Source organism: Homo sapiens, chromosome 1 (genome assembly GCF_000001405.40).
Source record: "Homo sapiens chromosome 1, GRCh38.p14 Primary Assembly".
In the NCBI taxonomy this organism is placed as follows: Eukaryota; Metazoa; Chordata; class Mammalia; order Primates; family Hominidae; genus Homo; species Homo sapiens.
The window spans coordinates 191793524-191815082 of record NC_000001.11 but is presented as its reverse complement, the minus strand read 5'-3'; the positions used below and the strand labels follow the sequence as shown (position 1 = coordinate 191815082).

Sequence of the window (21559 nt, the reverse complement as noted above, 5' to 3'; positions counted from 1 at the left end):
ATTTCTAAATTTAAACAGTATATATAATTTTTCATCCAAAGTTCAATACATTTGTGACTATGTGGGCCCAGTTTAGGCTAATATTAAGCTATTTTCAAGCCAATATTTAAAAAATATATAAGTTGTATATGAAAATAAATTACCTGCAGTTAATTTGATTTTGTTTTATTTTTAAAAATAATTTACCAGTGGAAGAAATTCTGCATTGTCTAATATTAGGAAAACCTGATTAAAAGCACTTAAATTTAGTGTTTAACATTTAAATTTAGTGACTAGAGTTATAGATCCATCGAGGGATGCTATCAAAAGCAGGGACGTCTTTTACCACATGCTAAAATGTTTAGGCATTAAGCAATTATAAAAGCATTGGTTCTTCCAGACCCAGGTGGAGTAGCCACGGGTGGTGAGTGCAAAATTCAAGTAATAATCATAATAGTTTTAGCTTGACCATGATAATGATTTTATTACATAACCTACCACTATACTCAGCTCTCTTAAAGTTTTATGCTGTTGCACAAACTATATTTTGAATTCTAATGGAGCTTTTATCTATTTTCCTAGTGTACTTCTAGCTGTATGATTTCAGCAGAAGTGAATATGAGTGGGATATCTTCATTTATTTAACATCCATGAAGATTGCTAGGAACAGTTGTGTACTCTTTTTTTCAAAGGCTTATCCACTGGTGTTGCAGGAAGTCAGGGACCCCCAACGGAGGGACCGGCTGAAGCCGTGGCAGAACATAAATTGTGAAGATTTCATGGACATTTATTAGTTACCCAAATTAATACTTTTATAATTTCTTATGCCTGTCTTTACTGCAATCTCTGAACATAAATTGTGAAGATTTCCTGGACATTTATCACTTCCCTAATCAATACTTTTATAATTTCCTATGCGTCTTTACTTTAATCTCTTAATCCCATCATCTTCATAAGCTGAGGATGTACATCAACACAGGACCTTGTGATGATTGTGTTAACTGCACAAATTGTTTGTAAAACATGTGTGTTTGAACAATATGAAATCTGGGCATCCTAAAAAAGGAACAGGATAACAGCAATTTTCAGGGAACAAGGTAGATAACCATAAGGTCTGACTGCCTGCGGGGCCAGGCAGAACAGAGTCATATTTCTCTTCTTGCAGAAAGCAAACAGGAGAAATATCACTGAATTCTTTTCCCACCGAGGAATAACCCTGGGAAAGAATGCATTCCCAGGGGAAGGCCTCTAAACGGCCACTCTGGGAGTGTCTGTCTTATGAGGTTGATGATAAGGGATGAAATATGCCCTGGTCTCCTGCAGCACCCTCAGGCTCCCTAGGATTAGGAAATTCCAGCCTGGCAAATTCTAGTCAGACCAGTTGTCTGTTCTCAAACCCTGTTTCCTGTTAAGATGTTTATCAATGACAATGTGTACCCAGTGGGACATGGAACCGCATCAGTAATTCTAATTTCGCCCTGGCCTTGTGATCTTGCTCTGCCTCTCTTCCCTTGTGATCTTTTATTGCCCTTTCAAGCATGTGATCTTTTTGACTCACTCCCTGTTCGTACTCCCTCCCCTTTTGAAATCCCTAATAAAAACTTTCTGGTTTTGCGGTTCGGGGGCATCACGGAACCTGCCAATATGTGATGTCACCCCCGGAGGCCCAGCTGTAAAATTTCTCTCTCTGTACTCTTTCTCTTTATTTCTCAGACACTTAGAGAAAATAGAAAAGAATCTACGTTGACATACTGGGGGCTGGTTCCCCCAATACACTCATCTGTGATACAGAATTAATCAAGAGTTGCTCCCCACCACATGTTTATACACCCAGTACCAATACAAATGACAAAGTGAAAATGCCCTAGACTGGATAACCGAAAGCCATTGGTATCTTTTCGAAAGACCTATGAAAATGGAAATGAAATTACTATGTTCTTAAAGACAACAAACATAATTCTCTGTATTCTAAATTCATTGTATTTTAAATTATCTACTCAAAAAAATTTCTTAGCAAGCATCTTGGGTTAATGGTGCTTTTGTTTTGTGTTGTTGTTTTACAGAACAGTCCTTGTAGAGACCAGAGTTCTATATTGACACAGTGCTCTTATGTAAAAATCAGCAACTGATTGCTAATTACAGTTTGCTATCCAATTTGTCAAGAAAGAGCAGTGAATAATAAAATTGCACCAATCACTTACATTGTTTTGAGTCCTTTTATATGATCTACTCATAAGGAATTCTTTTGGAGACAGTTTGTTTTCAAACAAATTTGTACTTGACTTTATAGTTTTATTAAAAGTTAATTCAATTGAATATTATTATAAAACATAATTACCTAACTGATAAAAACCACCAACACACATATTTTAAGTTTTCAAAATTCCCACTCTATGTATTTAATCATTTTGTAAATATCATTTCCTATTATAATACACTATAATTTAATATTTGCAGTGCCTTATTGTGGTGAAAGAAATCACGTACATATATATACACTATAAGATAAGGTCTCTCCACTGATAGTTTAGCCAATAATATAGACATTTAATGGAAGCGAGATAGCCACGCTAAGCAAGAAGAGATGTGGCATGTCCTGGTAGGGATTCTCCACATTCCCAGAGTTCTGAATGAGGACACAGTGCTGCTAGTGACAGTGAAGGTAAGGATCAGCTCAATATTTACTGTGTTAATACCATCATTTAAGAATTTACCAAAAACAATCTATGTGCTTTCATTGCAGAAATGCTTATAGTCACTTGATGCTTGTGTTTCCCCAAACAACGTCAACATTAGCAAAGATGTATCTTCAGCATAAATTAGAAACTCAAGTCAAATCAGTGGCCAAGGAACCTTAAACATTATTTAACAATGAGCTTTGATTTACAAACATTACTATCATTTTATTATATCAGCAATCCAAAAGGCAGATTTTATTTATACCAAAGGAAAAAAAGATATAAAATCTTAGAAAAATTTTAAAAATATCAGACTTTAGGAACTCCAAAATTTATTTTCTGTACCTGCAATATGGCACCAAAATCTATCCTTTCATCCCCTATAATGTTGGGTATCCATGTTTGGCTTTTAAAATATCTTACATCAAACTTTACCATTTTCCACAAAGAAGAATTGCATATCTTTTATAAAACGTATTTCTAGGTACTTGCTTTTTTATATTATCGCAAATTGAATTTTTAAAATTATATTTTCTAGTGTTTTGTTGTGATATTAAAATGCCCTTGTTGTTTTTAGGCAAATATTACAAGTTTTGTTTTTCTGCATTCCAATGAAAAATACTTTAGTTTCTTAATCTTGCCTTATTAGGCTCACTCCAACAACAGTATATGCTTATAGTAGTATTCCTGTCTTGTTTCTTATTTTAAGGAATGTTTTCTACTCAACTAAGATGGTGTGTGTAGTTTTTTTCTAATATATACAATTTCCCAGGAGATAGCTATCTTTTATTTCCAATTTATTTAATTATTATCATAAATATATAATAAGCTCTATATTTTTCTCTATTGAGAGGCACAAATTAATATTGTATTTCAACATTATCATGAATTAGATTTAGATGTTTTCTCATATTCTCATATTCTAAGTGAGTAATCCAATGTATATTTTATTACCTTTTGTACAGTTGCATTTCACTGCTAATATTTTGTTTTGGATTTTTACATGTTTATTAATAAATGAAATGGACTTATAGGGTTTCTCTACTATATTGACCTTATCAGAACTATGCTGACATTAAGAATGAACTAGGACATAGGACTTTTTTTCATTCTTTCTATTATCTAGAAGAGCTTAATATGATTGAGATGGTTTGTTGCTTGAAGCTAGTAACACCATCTTTGTGGAAACATCTTTAATTCTTTCTATTTGCTTGGTTTAATGTTTGTTTCTTTTTTTAGTAAATTATAGAATTATATAGGCATTTTTATTTTCCCCAAGCTAGAAACATTATGGTGTTTCTACTGGTGTCACTGCTGCCATCTGGCATGTTCCAGCCAACTGCTGGTAAGCCCATGCTTGAAAGATGCAAAAACAACATAAAATACAAACAAAAACAACAACAACAAAAAACCCCAGAGGCTAGTTATCTTCTCTTTCTCTGTGTATATTCCCAACAAGTCTGCATGTTTCTGTTCACTCTCCAATAAAAGCTCCTCATTTGCTTATTATTTTTGGTATAATGTAGAGGTTTATTCAAATTAGTTAGATTATTTAAATATTAGTGTTGTTTTAAAAACACACTTTATAAATCAATTTCTACTACATTGTTCTATATTTTCTTCTTTTTTGCTTTTAATTAACTTTTTTTCTTCTTTTAGGATAGTTTTATGTTTAGGAAAGTTTTAAAAATAGTAGTTTTCCCATATACCCCACTCTCAGTTTTCCCTAATATTAATATCTTACATTAGTGTGATACATTGGTCATAATTAATAAACTAATATTGTTTCATTATTATATACTAAAGCTCTAACTTTATTAAGATCTCCTTTATTTATTTATTTATTTATTTGACACCGAGTCTCACTCTGTTGCCCAGGCTGGAGTGCAGTGGTGCCATCTCGGCTCACTGCAACCTCCCCATCCCGGGTTCAAGCAGTTCTCCTGCCTCAGCCTCTCCAGTAGCTGGGATTACAGGCGTGGGCCGCCCTGCCTGGATAATTTTTTTATTTTTATTTTTTAGTAGACACGGGGTTTCACCATATTGGCCAGGCTGGCCTTGAGCTCCCGATGTTGTGATCCACCCGCCTCAGCCTCCCAGAGTGTTGGGATTACAGGCATGAGCCACCGCGCCCGGCCAAGATCTCTTAGTTTTTACCTATTTTTGTTGTTGTTGTTCTGTTCTAGGATTCTATCCAAGATACCATATTACATTTAGTCTCCTTAGGTTTCTCCTAATTGTGATAGTTTCTTTGTATTTGATGACCTTGACAGTGTTGAATAGTACTCGTCAGAAATTTTGGAGAATGCCCTTCAATTGGAATAAATCTGATGTTTTTCTCATAATTAGACTGGGATTATGTGTTGTTAGAAAAAAGCCCACAGTAAGCTTGCAGTGAGCCAAGATCGCGCCACTGCACTCCAGCCTCGGTGACACAGCGAGACTCTGTCTCAAAAAAAAAAAAAAAAAAAAAAGAAAAAGAAAAGTCTACAGTAGCCATGAGCCATGTATCGTTTTCATCATCATTTTGTATGAAATGTACATATTATCAACATGACTTATAAGTCTTGATATTGATATTGGCCTTGAACTTTTTGCTGAGATGGTGTTTGTAAGATTTCTCCATTTGAAAGATACTCTTTTATAACGCTTTCCATACTGTACTCTTTGGAACAAAGTCACTGTGTGTAGCCCACACTTAAGAAATGGAAAGTATGTTCCATCTACACTTCTAATTAGTGTGATTTTACCTCAGCAGCAATGACAAAAAAAAAATGGATGTCCAGTATTTTCCTCCTATTGGTATAAGAAATTTAGGCCAGGCTGATGTTCTTCCATCTCACTCATATAACCACACATAATGTCGATATTTTATAGAATTTCCCTTGGTCTTAGTTGTTTGTTTGATTTCCTGCTTAATAATGATAAATATTTTTTCTAAGACAAAATAATATTTGGAATATTTATTATAGCTTTTAAAGGAAATGACACTATCCCACCTTGCAATATTAGTCAGCATGTAATTCCTTTTAAGGATAAATTAAATAGGTGAAATTTTGGATTTGTAGGAGGACTGGAAACTGAGAGTTGATATCTACCAAGCCACATATTTTAGACCCAACAGAGTAGCAATCTCAATAAATTATTATTCCATAAGGTATTAGGTTAATTTATATTTTTTCCATTCTAGAAATATAACAATAGTCTGCTTTCATAAATAATGGATATGTTATTACTTTTTTAGCACATACGTGATGCATTCATTACACAGATAAAAATATGTCTAGGTTTATTTTGCTCTCATTTGTTTTCTTTTGCTTTTATTGTCACAGAACAAGCAATAGCTAGACAAAGATTTTGCTTTCTTTGTTGTTATTATTGTGTTTATTTTAAATATATCAAATACTAGTTGTCATCCGATAGCTTCTTAGTCTGTTTAGTTTCTAAAACATAAATGTGTTAGAAATCAAACATTATGGAAGGGTATAGATTATCTATTTGTGAGGATTTTTCTGCTCTATGTATACTTTAACTTGATTTAAATTGTTTTTTTAAGGCCTTGTTTGTTAACAGAAAGAAAGTGTGTCACACAGTAATACCATATGAATTAAACTGCCAGTCCAATACATCTATAGACATGTGAGCTATATGCTAGTTTAAAATATATTAAAAGTAGAAATGCTTCATAAAAATACTTTAAAGTAATTCGTGCCTTTGCCATTGGAGAATATACTGTAAAATATTTAATGCATCAAATTAGATGCTAGAGTAAAACATTTTGAATAATTACGTAAAATCAGCTTCTCCTTTACGTTCCATATTGAATACTGGATGCTTTGAATTATCACTTAGTATACAATAATTTTATGGAGAGTGGACATTTAGCATTATATAAATACGTAAAAAGTTTATATATAAGTTTCTGAGAAAATGACATTATAAAACAAGATTATTTTCTTCCCACTTTTTTTTGAGTTTATAGCCAATAGACTGGTTGTTACGTTGATGTAGAACAGCATTAGAAGAGTCAGGTAAACAATAAAAGTAAGTACAAAATAGAAGTCAAGTACCAGTAAGAGAATGCTAACACAGGTTAACATGAACTGGAAATCTCTAAGAAACTAGTATAAATTGGGAACATAAAAAATTTAAAAAATTGATTTATGGTCTTTGGCATATTTTCCATCTTCTAATTTTTGTTTCTTCCTCCCTTTCTGCCTCTCATCTTCCCCTTCCCTCTTTATTTCTCCCTTTCCTTCTGCCAACCGTTGTTCTAAGTAGTTTATATGCATTTGTCACTTAATACAACAAGAACTCATATGGTGGTTCTGAGAATTTAGTAAGATACAACATGTAAGTATCTAGAACAGTGTTTCATGCACAGTCAGCCTTATAGTAACATGTGCTGAATTGTTATTATTATTATTATGCCATATTTACTGGCCATGAAAACATAATTTAAAAATATACAGCTGAGATGACGTGTTTAGGAACTAGTGTATACAGATAAAACATTATCTTTCAAAGGCAACAGTAATAACTACTTTGAAAAAAAATTCCAGTCAAACTTAATCTTTTAATTAAATAAAATACACACCAAAGGCTCATCCCAAATTTGTCATGCTGCAGTTACTTTGTATCTTATGGCATAATTTTTATTTTTTGTTCAGATCTCCATTTGCTGAAGCTTAACTTATTTTCATGTTCATGATCCATTTGAATGGCAAATTGAGATTAAAAAACTACAAGTTATTTAAAACTCATTCTTTAAAATATAGTATCATAAGGGATCTTGAAATGTTAAAAATATTAAGCAGTTATTCTATTATAATTTCAAGAAGTCTGAGTTCTATACATTAACTGTAGTCCAGAATGAAAAATGAATGATAATAGTCATCTTCAGCTTTGTGTCCTTGTAACAAATTTAAGGGCAACAAAAAAAGTTTAGCTTAACAAATTTATGAAGAAGCTTGACACATGAAGAGCACTTTTTATTTTTATTTAGTTATTCATTTATTTACTTTAGACACAGAATCTCACTCTGTCACCCATGCTGGGATACAGTGGCACAATCATAACACAATGCAACTTAGAAATCCTGGGCCCAATGGATCCTGCTGCCTCAGCTTCCTGAGTAGCTAGGGCTACAGGTATACATCACTAGGCATGTCTAATTTAAAAAAAAAATTTTTGGTAGAGATAGGACCTCATTATGTTTACTAATATGGTCTCAAACTCCCATCCTCCAAGGATCTTCCCACGTTGGCATCCCAAAGCACTCTGGGATTACAGGCATGAGCTACCATGCCTAACTCCATAAAGATTAATTTTTGGTGATGAGAAGGGTAAAGTTACTATCAAACATATATTAATTTCAGGCATTTTTGTCAATTATTTTTATTGTTAATTGTTTTATCTCAAGCAGTCTGTAAATCTGAACCACTGTAATTTCTTGCACCACAAACACCTTGAGATGAGCTTATAATAAAGGTTGACTTGTTTCTTACTTTTTATTTTGTTTTGTTTTGTTTTAGATTTTGGTTTGAAAATTTGTTTTCAATCTTGTATGCTCCTGAGCTTGATTCAAGTATTTCAAATCTACTTGATCCCTAATTCAAATCAAATTTTTTCTCACCATCTTGGAAAACTAATTCTGACTCCTGATTGCTTCTGTTGTGTAATGATTAATTACCTTGAACTAATTTTGACTGATTGAGTCTCCTAATTATTCAGTAGAATGAACTAATGTTAAGCTTATAATAAGTCATAAGGGAAATATTAACACTATTAAACTTTATTTCTCAATTTTAAGATACAAAATTATGGGATAATTTTAGCATAGTGATAGAAGTTCGAAATTAAAATTAACTAGGAAAAACTGGTTCCAACTGTCTAAACATCAGAGGGTTCATTTATACTATTCAAATCATACATATATACATAAAAATGAAATTATCCTTTGATTATCAAAATGAAGTAGACTTCCTAGATTTTGGTGAGATAATAGCGTCATTAATTATGGATAGGAGAGTACAATTAGTTGTGATTTTTGTATTTATTGAATCGTTTTCTGAACTAAGTATGTTTACTTTTAAATCTGCCTTATTTATGTCAGACTAATGTAATTTAATGCTTCCTTTGGGATTCAGGTCTGGCATAAAGAAATATGCTGTAAAAATTAAGTACAATTTTATATCTTAAAATATCATCAAGGCCCAATTAAATTATTCTAATATTGTATACATGGTGCAATTATTTCCCTCAGATGTATTCAAATCCCTCAGATGTATTATTCAAATCCATCAGATGTATTATTTCCCTCAGATGTATTCAAAGTAATTCACCCACACTACTACAAAGTAATTTGTTTCCTGGTTTTCAGGTTTGTTTTCATTACAAACTGAGTAATGGAACTTCTCTATTAAAAAAAAAAAACAATAAAATAGTCACATGAACAAAAAGAACAAATTGATTTCCCCTTATTGTTTTAAAAATACACTTTTATTAAATTAAGCTTGCCTAAATTTTTAGCCCCATATTCACTATAAAAATATTTCTGACTAACTGATTCTCCAGGAAATGTGTGGATACTGAACACACTGGAGTGCATTGTTCCCTCACTTTAAATTTATCCTCAAAACTTGAAATGCATGTTTTAGAACTCTACTTTCTAAAATTGTAGTTAATATTTTAGAACCTACCCAAATCTATAACCATATCAGAGAATAAATGTATAAATGTTTCTTAAATATTTTGTTTTGCTAATATGAAATATCCCCCAGTATAAACAAAGAGAAATGTTATATAAACTGCAGCAAAATTATTTTAAAAGCATTACTGAACCAATAAGTGAAGAAAAGAGAGCAATCAATTTCGTTAAGCACAAAGAGTATTCAACACAAAAAACACTCTCCCTGAGGGCGATATCAAATTGAAAATAAACTATTGCAAAACACATAAGAAATATAATTTTTAGTGAGTGAAACATAGCCAACACTAACAACACTAGAAATAGACCTTTATATATTTAGATGCGAGATTTTTTTAAAGTGTGTTTAATTAATAAAATTTTCAAATACTGATTTAATCTCTAAAAAGAACATGATAGTTAAAAAGGAGATTTAAAAATAAAATATACTTACCAGAAGAGAAAAAATACATAATCATGGAAGTTAAGATTTGCAGTTAAACTAAATTGGATCAAATATAACCCCCAAAATAATTATAAAAGAAGTTTAAATTAAAATAAATATCTGAGAAAATTATCCAAAAATGGCAAATAGAATGGTAAAGTGATGAAGGGTTGTGAAAATTAAGAACACTTCTTTTTAAAATATGATGAACTCAACATCTGTTTAATAAGAGATGCAGAAATAAAGAAATTTTTAAAGCCATGAATCCTTATATATAAGAAGTATGAAATCTGATAAAGATAAATGGCTTTACATAAAGCAAAACTTGGTAAAATTGAAAAAGAAATGGATGAATTTTAAATCATACTTGCAAATTTAAACACCTTCTCTGAGTAAGGATAGAAGATTTGAATGCTATCAAATAATAGGGCAATCTTGTAAATATTAGCAGAATATTAGTTTTTTCAAGTGTTTATGAAATATTCATCAAGGTAGACCATGTGATGCATCATATATATCATATATAAAATCTCAATAAATTAAACAATAACAAAATATGCAAAGTATTTTGCTTATCACAACAAAATTTTTTCTGTTAATTAAATAACAGAAAAAAGTACATTTAAAAAAATATGCTAGAGTCTTTAAGAGGCCGAACTAGAGGCATTCAGCACTTGCCTCCTCCACAAAGAAGGATAAAAACAGTCAGGAGATAAACACATGTTAAGTGGAATGTCTAAGAGAGTTCACTTGAATTCAGCAGGAAAGTCACCGGGAAACTCTGAAGCACAGAATTAGAGGAAAGAGAAACAGCTGGCTTGGCTGGAATCAGCTTGGAGTCAAGGGAAACTCCTTATTACAGGGAAATGTGAAGAGAGATCCCCAGTAGTCCACATTCACACATTTCCACCACAGACTACTGCAATCCTAGCTACAAGAGAGGCCCGTGGACCCTGTGGGCCCTGAGACTAGTAAAGGAGCTGCCTGGAATCCACACAATGGCTGGATAACACCTACCAGGCCTCCCCATCTCTACAACCCAAAAGCCCCACTGACAAAAATACACATTTCTCAAAGGAAGACACACGAATGGCTAATAGGTGTATCAAAAATAGATTCAACATCACTAATCATCAGGGAAGTGCAAATCAAACTACAATGAGATATCTTACCCTGTTAGAATAGCTATTACCAAAAAGACAAAAAAATAACAAATGTGGTAAGGATGTGGAGAAAAGAGAACCCTTACATACTGTTGATGGAAATGTAAAATTAGTACAGCCATTATGGAAAATAGTACAGAAATTTCTCAAAAAACTAAAAATAGAATAATGCAACAATTACGCTACCAGGTATTTATCCAAAAGTAAAGAAATCAGTATATCAAAGAGATTCCTGCACTTCCATGTTTAGTGCAACACTATTCACAGTAGGAAAGATATAGATCAGCATAAGTGTCCATCTATGAATAAATAGATGAAAGAGTAAATGGATAAAAAATGTACAATTGAATACTATTTGGCCATTTAAAAGAAGGAAATCTTGTCATTTGCAGCAACATGGATGAAACTGGAGGTTATTAAGTGAAATAAGCCAGAAACAAAAAAATATTGTGTGTTCTCACTCATATAGGAGAACCAAAAAAATTGACCTCAGGGAGATAGAGTAGAATGGTAGTTACCAGAGGTTGGGAAGCAGAGGAATGAAGAGAGGTTGGTTAATGAGTGCAAACATAAAGTTGAGTACAAACATAAAGTTAGATGGAAGAAATAAGTTCTAGTGTTCAGTAGCACAATAGGGTGACTGCAGTTAAAAATGATACATTGTATATTTCAAAATAAAAAAGTAGATTTGTAATGTTCTCAGCACAAAGAAATGATAAATGTTTGAAGTGATAGATGTCCTAAATACCCAGATTTGATCATTACACATTGTATACATGTATTGAAATATCACATATATGCCATAAATTTATACAAATATTATATATTAATATTAAATACATTTTAAAAATCTACAAATATTTAGAAAGTAGAAAAGAGATAAGAACAATTACAAAATATTTTGAACTCAAAGAAAATGAATACACAATACATCAACATGTGATGATGTAGTTAAACAAACATTTTGAAGGAAATTTATAGCATCAAATCGCATTAGACAAGAAGAAAAAATATATAACAGTATATACTAAATTAATTCAAACCAAATTGTAGAATATGGAGAAATTATTTGTGACCTTGAGTTGGGCAATGATTCTTAGGGTACAAAAACTTGAATCATAAAATCTTTGTAATTTAATATTCATCAAAATTAAAATTTCTCTTCAAGAGTCACCATTAAGGAAAGAACAAGGTACAACCCAAAAGAGGAAACATTACAATGCATATGGCTAACAATGGGCTTCTGTCCAGAATGTATAAGTAACTTTACAACTCAGTAATAAGCCAAACATCACAATAGTAAATGGGCAAAACATTTGAACAGATATTTCACTAAATGAACTATGTAAAATTCTCATGAACATATTAAAAATGCTCAAAATATTGTTTGTTATGGAAGTGCAAAATCTGATCCACATTGAAGGACTGCTAACATCTACAAGAGTGAATAAAATTAAAATGAATTGACAATTATAAGAGGTGGTGTAGATGTGGAGAAAATTTGGCAATATTTTTCTTGCTGCTTTTTCGTAGTTGATTGCAAAGACTAGGAATAATTTTCTCCACACATTAATAATCATCTCTCATGTGATAATACAATCTCTACAGGTTATAGATATATTTTTGTTATATTGGGGGGCACTGTGTGTAAAATGCCATTTCAAATCTATTACTTATTGTTTAGAATTGTATGGTTTCTCAATGTCATATATTAAATAGAAGTTAATCCATACATTAATTATCAAAAGGGAAACAAAAAATTTCACACATTTTTGGCCACAAAATATTATTAAGCAAAGGAAATTAACTATTGTCTCCTGGTATTAGAGACTACTGATTAGGCTGGATTATAAAGAGATGCCCTTGATCTTCCTCTTTTACATCTTACTTCGGAAAATATTCAAGAGCTATTCTATGTAGATCATAAGCCTTTCCAAATAGCTTTTGGGAATTCTGGATGCCAAATATCTTTGTAATCTTATTTGGGTATTATTCAAAATAGTAATTGTCAGATATGCTTGGTGGGGTTGTTCTTTGTGGTTCTTGCCACATTCTATTCTCTTTAGCAAAGTTTATTTTTATCTACTGAATACCTCTTCTTTCCTTAATTTTTACTTAAAAAAATCTACGTAAGCAGGTCTTAGTGTGTCTTCTCAAAAATAAGAGCTTTGTTTCTAACTATAGGATAAATGGCAATAGGGTAAAAATTTACCATCGTTTTATATATAGCTTTTAGCTTTTGGACAATGGTTATGCTAAATAATTATTTTACTTTATTTATTTCAGTCAAACAATTAGGTTAATTGATTTCTAGGATCTGAAATGTTGTGCAATTAACCAGGAGTTTGGTCATATGTGCAATACATGCCATATTTTTCTACATATCTTCTGAGTAATTAATGTCATGCTAGAATTTTTAAGTGCTATATAATTAAAATTTCACAAGCCAATTTTGATTATCATGAGGATTCTTCAAAAGCAGTTGTTTTTTCGGATTCCCTATTTAATAACTGGTGCTGGGAAAACTGGCTAGCCATATGTAGAAAGCTGAAACTGGATCCCTTCCTTATACCTTATACAAAAATGAATTCAAGATGGATTAAAGACTTAAATTTTAGACCTAAAACCATAAAAACCCTAGAAGAAAACCTAGGCAATACCATTCAGGACATAGGCATGGGCAAGGACTTCATGTCTAAAACACCAAAAACAACGGCAACAAATGCCAAAATTGACAAATCATGACAGGCAACCTACAGAATGGGAGAAAATTTTTGCGATCTACTCATCTGACAAAGGGCTAATATCCAGAATCTACAATGAACTCAAACAAATTTACAAGAAAAAAACAAACAACCCCATCAAAAAGTGGGCGAAGGATATGAACAGAAACTTCTCAACAGAAGACATTTAGGCAGCCAAAAGACACATGAAAAAATGCTCACCATCACTGGCCATCAGAGAAATGCAAATCAAAACCACAATGAGATACCATCTCACACCAGTTAGAATGGGGATCATTAAAAAGTCAGAAAACAGCAGGTGCTGGAGAGGATGTGAAGAAATAGGAACACTTTTACACTGTTGGTGGGACTGTAAACTAGTTCAACCATTGTGGAAGTCAGTGTGGCGATTCCTCAGGGATCTAGAACTAGAAATACCATTTGACCCAGCCATCCCATTACTGGGTATATACCCAAAGGATTATAAATCATGCTGCTATAAAGACACATGCACACCTATGTTTATTGCGGCACTATTCACAATAGCAAAGACTTGGAACCAACCCAAATGTCCAACAATGATAGACTGGGTTAAGAAAATGTGGCACATATACACACACCATGGATTACTATGCAGCCATAAAAAGTGATGAGTTCATGTCCTTTGTAGGGACATGGATGAAGCTGGAAACCATCATTCTCAGCAAACTATCACAAGGACAAAAAACCAAACACCGCATGTTCTCACTCATAGGTGGGAATTGAACAATGAGAACACATAGACACAGGAAGGGGAACATCACACACTGGGGCCTGTTGTGGGGTGGGGAGAGGGGGGAGGGATAGCCTTAGGAGATATACCTAATGTAAATGACGAGTTAATGGGTGCAGAACACCAACATGTCACATGTATACATATGTAACAAACCTGCACGTTGTGCACATGTACCCTAAAACTTAAAGTATAATAAAAAATAAATAAATAAAAATTAAAAATTAAAAAAAAAAGAATACCATATTTGTGGTACCCAAAATACTCTCAAATATTTGGGTTAGATTTACATGTTTACGCATTTATACAACGCAATAACACAATTTTTCTTCCCTATTTTTCTCCCTTTACCTTGTGCCCCATATGTCTCTTAGGACTGACCTGCCTAAAACCATATGAAGCCTTCACTTCTGATTCTTTGTAATATAATATAATATGGAGAATTAGATGCTTTGTGTTACAAGTCACTAGTGATTTTGTTTTAAATGGATCTCATTTTTATCTCTTTTTAAAAGATGCCATTCTGGATTTTGTGACCATTTTTGTCAAAATGATCCTTTGTTTTGTTTTTTAAAAAAACAAAAAAACATGCCTTTCAGAGGTTAAATCCCAGTCTGATGTTTATTTACCTGATATTTCAGGTGATATGCAACCTCATCAGGTAAAATCCAAGAAGAAGAAACATATATTTCTTATCTCTGTGCTGAAAATATTATTAATCAATCATAAGACTGTCACAAATAACATGCCCAAGGTCACATAGATAGTTACTGATACCCAAAATGATAACCCAAGATTCTCTGTATCATGGACATCTAATTTCATATCTGTCGGATGTTACTTTTTAAATTTTAACTCCTGACATGAGAATTAACTAATTCAATATTTAATTCACATGCTCCTACTTTAGAGAATATTATAATTAGTTTTCTACTAACAAAAGATAAGCATGTACAAAATTGTCTTTATATAATTAATTACATTACATATTTTCAGGTCCAATACTAAATTATTTTTTGCTGTTAAATACTAAACAAAAAATCTTTTTATAAAAAATGTGCATTTTTTCTTTTAGTAACAAAAATATAAGCCATTTTGATTTAAATATGTTGATTGAAAATGTTGCCTGCAGTTATTCTATGGCATTATTTGAAGTGTTTTCCAAAGCTCAAGCATACCATATCTAAAGAGATGGACACAAAAAAGGAAAGGAGTAGTCTACTTTAGCCCATCCTATGGAAGAACAATTACTTTGTAATTTAATGAGTTTAAAATATGTTCATTGGTATGAAAATACTCACTGATAGTAGCAATGTGTCTGGCACTATGCTACTTCCTGGAACAATGATGAATTAGGTAGACAGAGCTTTGGTCTTATGAAGCTCCTGACTGGAATAGACCCTTCACTGTAGTCAAAGTAGTCAAGATAAACTATGTGTACAGATACTTCCACATTAAGAACCCATGTGCTCATTTTGTCATAGAAGAATAAGTTATAAAAATCCAAAATCCCTTATTAGGCGTTAACAGCACAAAATCACCAAATACACGACTGTATGTGTTCATCCTACCACATTTATGAGATCTGTGCAAATGCTTCGAAAACTCAAGAATATAAATTACTCATCACTGTAAGACTGTAGAAAGAAATAATGTATTCAAGCTACTGACTTATGTTAACAACTATTTTACTTCTCTCTTATATGACTTTAAATTTAAAAAATGAAAATGAGAGACAGTAAATCTGTATAATAATGACTGCTTTATTTTGTACAAAAGAAAAATATGATATATGTTGCTCCTATAGAAGAAATGTATAAAAATATATGATTTTTAAAATATACATGTTAAACTCCATAATTTAAGTAAAGAAGAAAATCACAAAGTATACACACAAATATAATTGTAAAATATGCACATGAATATATCTACTAACTGCAAATACAATTGCAAAATATACACACAAATACATCTACTGAAGTATTTTTTTCTTCATTTATTTGATTGTTTTTTAGTGCCAATACTTATCTGGCACATTTTTAAGCTAGTGGTTTTCCAAAAGTTATCAAGAGTCCCTTGTTGGTTCCCAAGCTATTTAAGTGGTTTGTAATGTCACAATTATGTTCATAGCAATGCAAATATGTTATTTTTCTTTTCTTCTCTCTATAATAAGTATACAGAATATTTTTTTCAGAGGCTACATGATCTGTAATGATGTCACTGCTCTGACTGCTAATGGACTGTATTTTTGTTTTTTTTGTTTCTGTAATTTTCTAAGGTAGTGGCTTTAGAATATAAATATGTACATATTATGGAATTAACTCAGTTGATTCTTAGAACATTATGTTCTTTCTTTTTATTGTAACTACTATGATCTTTGTAAACTCATTATCTTCCCATGAATTATTTTGAGTTTGTTGTCTTTATGCCTACGTGAAAATACAAGAAAGTAAATTTTGTTGATTTATTTTACAAGATTATTGATTTAAAAAGTAGAAAACTTTTCTAAATTTGAAGAATGTATCCACATATGTTATTATTTTGGAATTTAATTACCTACTAAAATAATTTTATTTATACATTTTGCATATTTAAGATTTAGTTGATGACTAAAATTAGGACTAGAAGACTTGACTTCTTCAATCCACAGTTACACTATTCCTAAAGACACGGAAATACAAAGAAACTGACATATCAGAGTATTCTCTGACATATGTAAAACAATCTATTCTTTGGAATTAATTCTAAAGATACTGGGCAAAATTTTAAGTAAGAAAGTGAACTGATGAAAGCTATCTTTTTAAGCTTTAGAATGTTAAAAATTTAGTATATTGTGTTTTATTCAAAAGAACAGTTTTGAATAATATTATATTGCCAGTTAATTTGTGGATCATTTTGAGGCAAATCTAGTCAATTCATAAATTAAAAGAATTGAGTATTTTAAATGTAGAGATGATAAGCTATTTAAAAACAAAAATTATTCATTATAGCTTTTCAAACTAAAAATGAAAAATTCACTGAAGCATCTTACAGGGAAAATTATCTTTCATTGGCTGGAGAAACACTTAGAATAGCTGTAGGACAAAGCCTTGAATGCCTGCTAGATGAAAAGTCATTAACAAAATCATGGCACTTCTACTTTCTAATAATACTGTAACTCATGGAATTGAAGACCTACTATAAACATCAAGATTGAGTTAGTACCCAATCTGTAGATTAGTATTTTTGTCTTACAAATGCTTACAAATGAATAACCTACAGGCATGGCTGGACTTGCTGTATTTACATTAATCTAATATTAACACCAATTAATAAATTAGACCATTCATTTTTAATGAATGCTTGGAAATAAACACAAATGAAAATTTTGAATAAATTTTTTGAATCTCATAAGTTATCCTGGAACAATTGTGTGGACTTCTGCACTGATGGTAGGTACAATTGATGGGGGTCGGTGGTTGACATCATTCAATGGTACCAAACTATAATAGGAGTCAATATATTCTTTGCTATGTGAACATACACAGAAAAGAAAAGAAAAGAAAGAAAACAAACAGAAGAAGACAGCTTTTAAAAAGAATGTGTTTGATTAATCACAAATAAATAATTTTATTAAAGCTCCAACCATAAATACATATCTTTTTATATTCTGAGTGATGAAATGGAAAAAGACATAATGAACTTATGCTACACACCAAAGTAGGATGATTATCTTGAGGGAGGACTTTTGTGTGATTGCTATTGTGAGGAGATTAACTAGCCACTTGTTCATGAAACACCATTCCTTCCTAAAAGAACAGGTAACCAAAAACTATAGTTTTTAAACGCTGGGTATTTGGCAGACATCTTCTCAAATATAAACAATCTGACCCTGTTACCGACAAATAAAACAACCTACCATATTTGTTGTCAATAATGAAATTTGCATTTTAAGACAAAATTTAAGTATTAGAAAATTTGCATCTGCCTAAATAAGCATGACATCTTCCTAATGCAGACTTTTCTAATAAGATTGAGGTTGATATTAGCACATGTGATTTTTTTCATATTACATCATGAAAACGATGTCAACATTTGAAATATCTTCATAATCCACTGAATCAATTTCTAAAAGATGAATGTATGGTGTTTCAAAATTATGTATGAATAAAAGTTTGAGATATACTAACAGTTTTAAATGTAACATAGTGAGGAAAATTAGTCAGAATGGTTTCACCTCTTAAATTTTAACTTTTAAGAACTATTACTTGGGGCCAGGTGGGGTGGCTCACACCTGTAATCCCAGCACTTTGGGAGGCCAAGGTGGGAGGATCACGAGGTCAGGAGATGGAGACCATCCTGGCTAATACAGTGAAATCCAGTCTCTACTAAAAATACAAAAAATTAGCTGGGCATGATGGCACGTGCCTGTAGTCCCAGCTACTCGGGAGGCTGAGGCAGGAGAATCGCTTGAACCCAGGAGGCAGGGGTTGCAGTGAGGCAAGATAGTGCCACTGCACTCCAGCCTGGGGGACAGAGAGATACTCCATCTCAAAAAAAAAAATAAATAAAAGCAACAAAGAAAGCCAAACCAAAAAAAAAAAAAAAAAACTATTACTTGCTAATTTTGCTGTAGATTCAAATTGATAATTATCAAGGTTACTATAAAGTTTATTAGGGACTCCTGCCTTTTCCAATTACATATCTGTATGAGTATATATTAACTGCATATTTCTACCAAAGTAATATACCAGGGCTGATTGAATTCAGAATCAGCAAAACATATGGAAACACTTTTCATTTTCATCTTTTATTTAGTCCTACATTAAGATACTTAAGAATATATGAAACAATGTCACTATTCGCATTAGTTTTTGGCTTTGTAAGCTACAATGTATTTCATTAAAATGTTGTTTACATTAGCATGTAGTAGGTTTATTGTTGTTATTTACAATGAATTAATAAATTGATATTTTTAAATGCCTAAATTTTACTTGTAGTACTATAAATGCATATATTTATATATACTACATAAGCAAAAGTATTTTGGCATTCTCAACATAGTTTAAGAATTTAATCAGAACCAGAAACAAAAACTAAATGTAAGAACCACGGCTCTAGGCCATGAGATACACCAGTGATCAAAATAAGTTGAAGCCTCTGCCCTGTAGAGCTAATTATGTTCTCCTGGAATAGTTTTATTCCAGCAGATGGTTTTATTCTTCTATTTCAGACTTTCTGTCTGATTCTTTCTAGGTCATGTTGAAATTAAAATGAGAGAAAGAAAAAACAATGACAGATTGTTGCATTCCCTTTGTCATACTTTACTTTTTCTTACATTTTAAATTGCTATTTTATTTATTTATTTTTACCATTCTGAGGTTGTCTAAAGTTCCACTTCCTGAATCACTATATAAAACTCTTTGTAATTACTACTAACTAATATGATAGTATCGCAAATTTTCCACCTTATAAATTTTGTGACACATCTTTAAATTTCTTGTTGTAAAAATATTTCAAAGCAAATTTTTTTTCTTAACCAACTGACATATGGCATTTAATTTCCAAATGTTATTTTTGAATAAACATTAGTGAAGTATATTTATTAGTTTAGAGATTTTATTTTCACAATGTGCTAATTTTGACAAATTAAGGTCTTAGAGCAGATTTTTTGCAGGAAATTTCTAGCAAAAATTGATTCTACTAAGCTTTATTATAATTATTATTCATCTGAAATATTGATAAATTTGCTTTTTCTTCCTAAATTTATTTTGTAAGCAATCATTAGTTTCACTGTACATCACCATGTAGTATAAAATTTTGGAAAGAATCTCAAAGAGGAACAAAATCAGAAAATTTCTGTTCCAACTTATGTGTTAATGTCTTGAATTTATCTAAGTTATTGCAAAATATTATGCTTTTAGTTGGTTTGTTATGCTTTTAAAACTGCATGTGATTTTTCATTGTGTTCATATATTTAAAGCCCAATTAACTTTTCATGACTTGTCTACTTGGAGGCTACTCTGCCCCCACTATCTTTATGTATCTTCTGAAGAAAATAGATAGCACCTTTATTTGCTAATAAATTGAAGTCCCTGTGTGTTTTCATGCTGCTTTTTTTTTTTTTTTTTTTTTTTTTGAGACAGAGTCTCGCTCTTTCACCCAGGCTGCAGTGCAGTGGCGCCATCTCGGCTCACTGCAGGCTCCGCCCCCCGGGGTTCACGCCATTCTCCTGCCTCAGCCTCCCTAGTAGCTGGGACTACAGGCGCCCGCCACCTCGCCCGGCTAATTTTTTGTATGTTTAGTAGAGACAGGGTTTCACCATGTTAGCCAGAATGGTCTCGATCTCCTGACCTCGTTATCCGCCCGCTTCGGCCTCCCAAAGTGCTGGGATTACAGGCGTGAGCCACGGCGCCCGGCCTTCATGATTCTTAAATGCCACCCTCTGCACACATTCAGAGGGAATCATAATGAAATATTATGGAGTACTGCAAAATGCGAGAATATCTATCTTATATCAAAAAGCAAGAGCCAAAATGCGGAGTTGGGAGCATATCCTTAATTTTTTTTTAGAAAAGTAGAAGTTTCCATTGTCACTTTGGAGAGTTAAAACAAACAAACAAAAAAATTAAAAAGTAAGGCCGGGCGCGTTGGCTCACGCCTGTAATCCCAGCACTATGGGAGGCCAATGCGGGCAGATCACGATGTCAGGAGATCCAGACTATCCTGGCTAACATGGTGAAACCCCATCTCTACTAAAAATACAAAAAGAATTAGCTGGGTGTAGTGGCGGGCGCCTGCAGTCCCAGCTGCAATTAATATAGCTACCTCAATTTTTTTTATTAATGTTAGCATAGTGTATGTTTTTCTGTCCCTTCACTTTTAATCCGAGTTTTTATACTTAAAGTAGAATTTTTATAAACAACATATATTTTTGTCTTGTTTATGTTTAAGCCACTCTGACAACATGTGTCTTTTAACTGTTACTTTTAAATTGTTCTAATTTAAAATCATTATGAATATGGTTGAATTAATTCCTACCATATTCTTTAAAATTTATAAAAATATTTTAATTATTTTAAAAATTATGACAAAATGCACATAACAGAAACATTGATCATCTTAACTATTT

At 32.0% G+C, this 21559-nt stretch overlaps 1 long non-coding RNA gene across 1 annotated transcript in view, besides 1 other annotated feature; it reads right to left on the bottom strand.

Moving 5' to 3' along the window:
• Positions 1–21559, bottom strand: part of LINC02770 (long intergenic non-protein coding RNA 2770) — a 278575-nt gene that overhangs the window by 196178 nt on the left and 60838 nt on the right. The gene's annotated exons all lie outside the window — the stretch shown is intronic.
• Positions 1257–1457: a silencer, noted in NCBI's record as "peak600 fragment used in MPRA reporter construct". NCBI's record gives its function as "represses an SCP1 promoter by STARR-seq MPRAs in K562 erythroleukemia cells {active_cell/tissue: K562}" and the evidence as "EXISTENCE:reporter gene assay evidence [ECO:0000049][PMID:32103011]".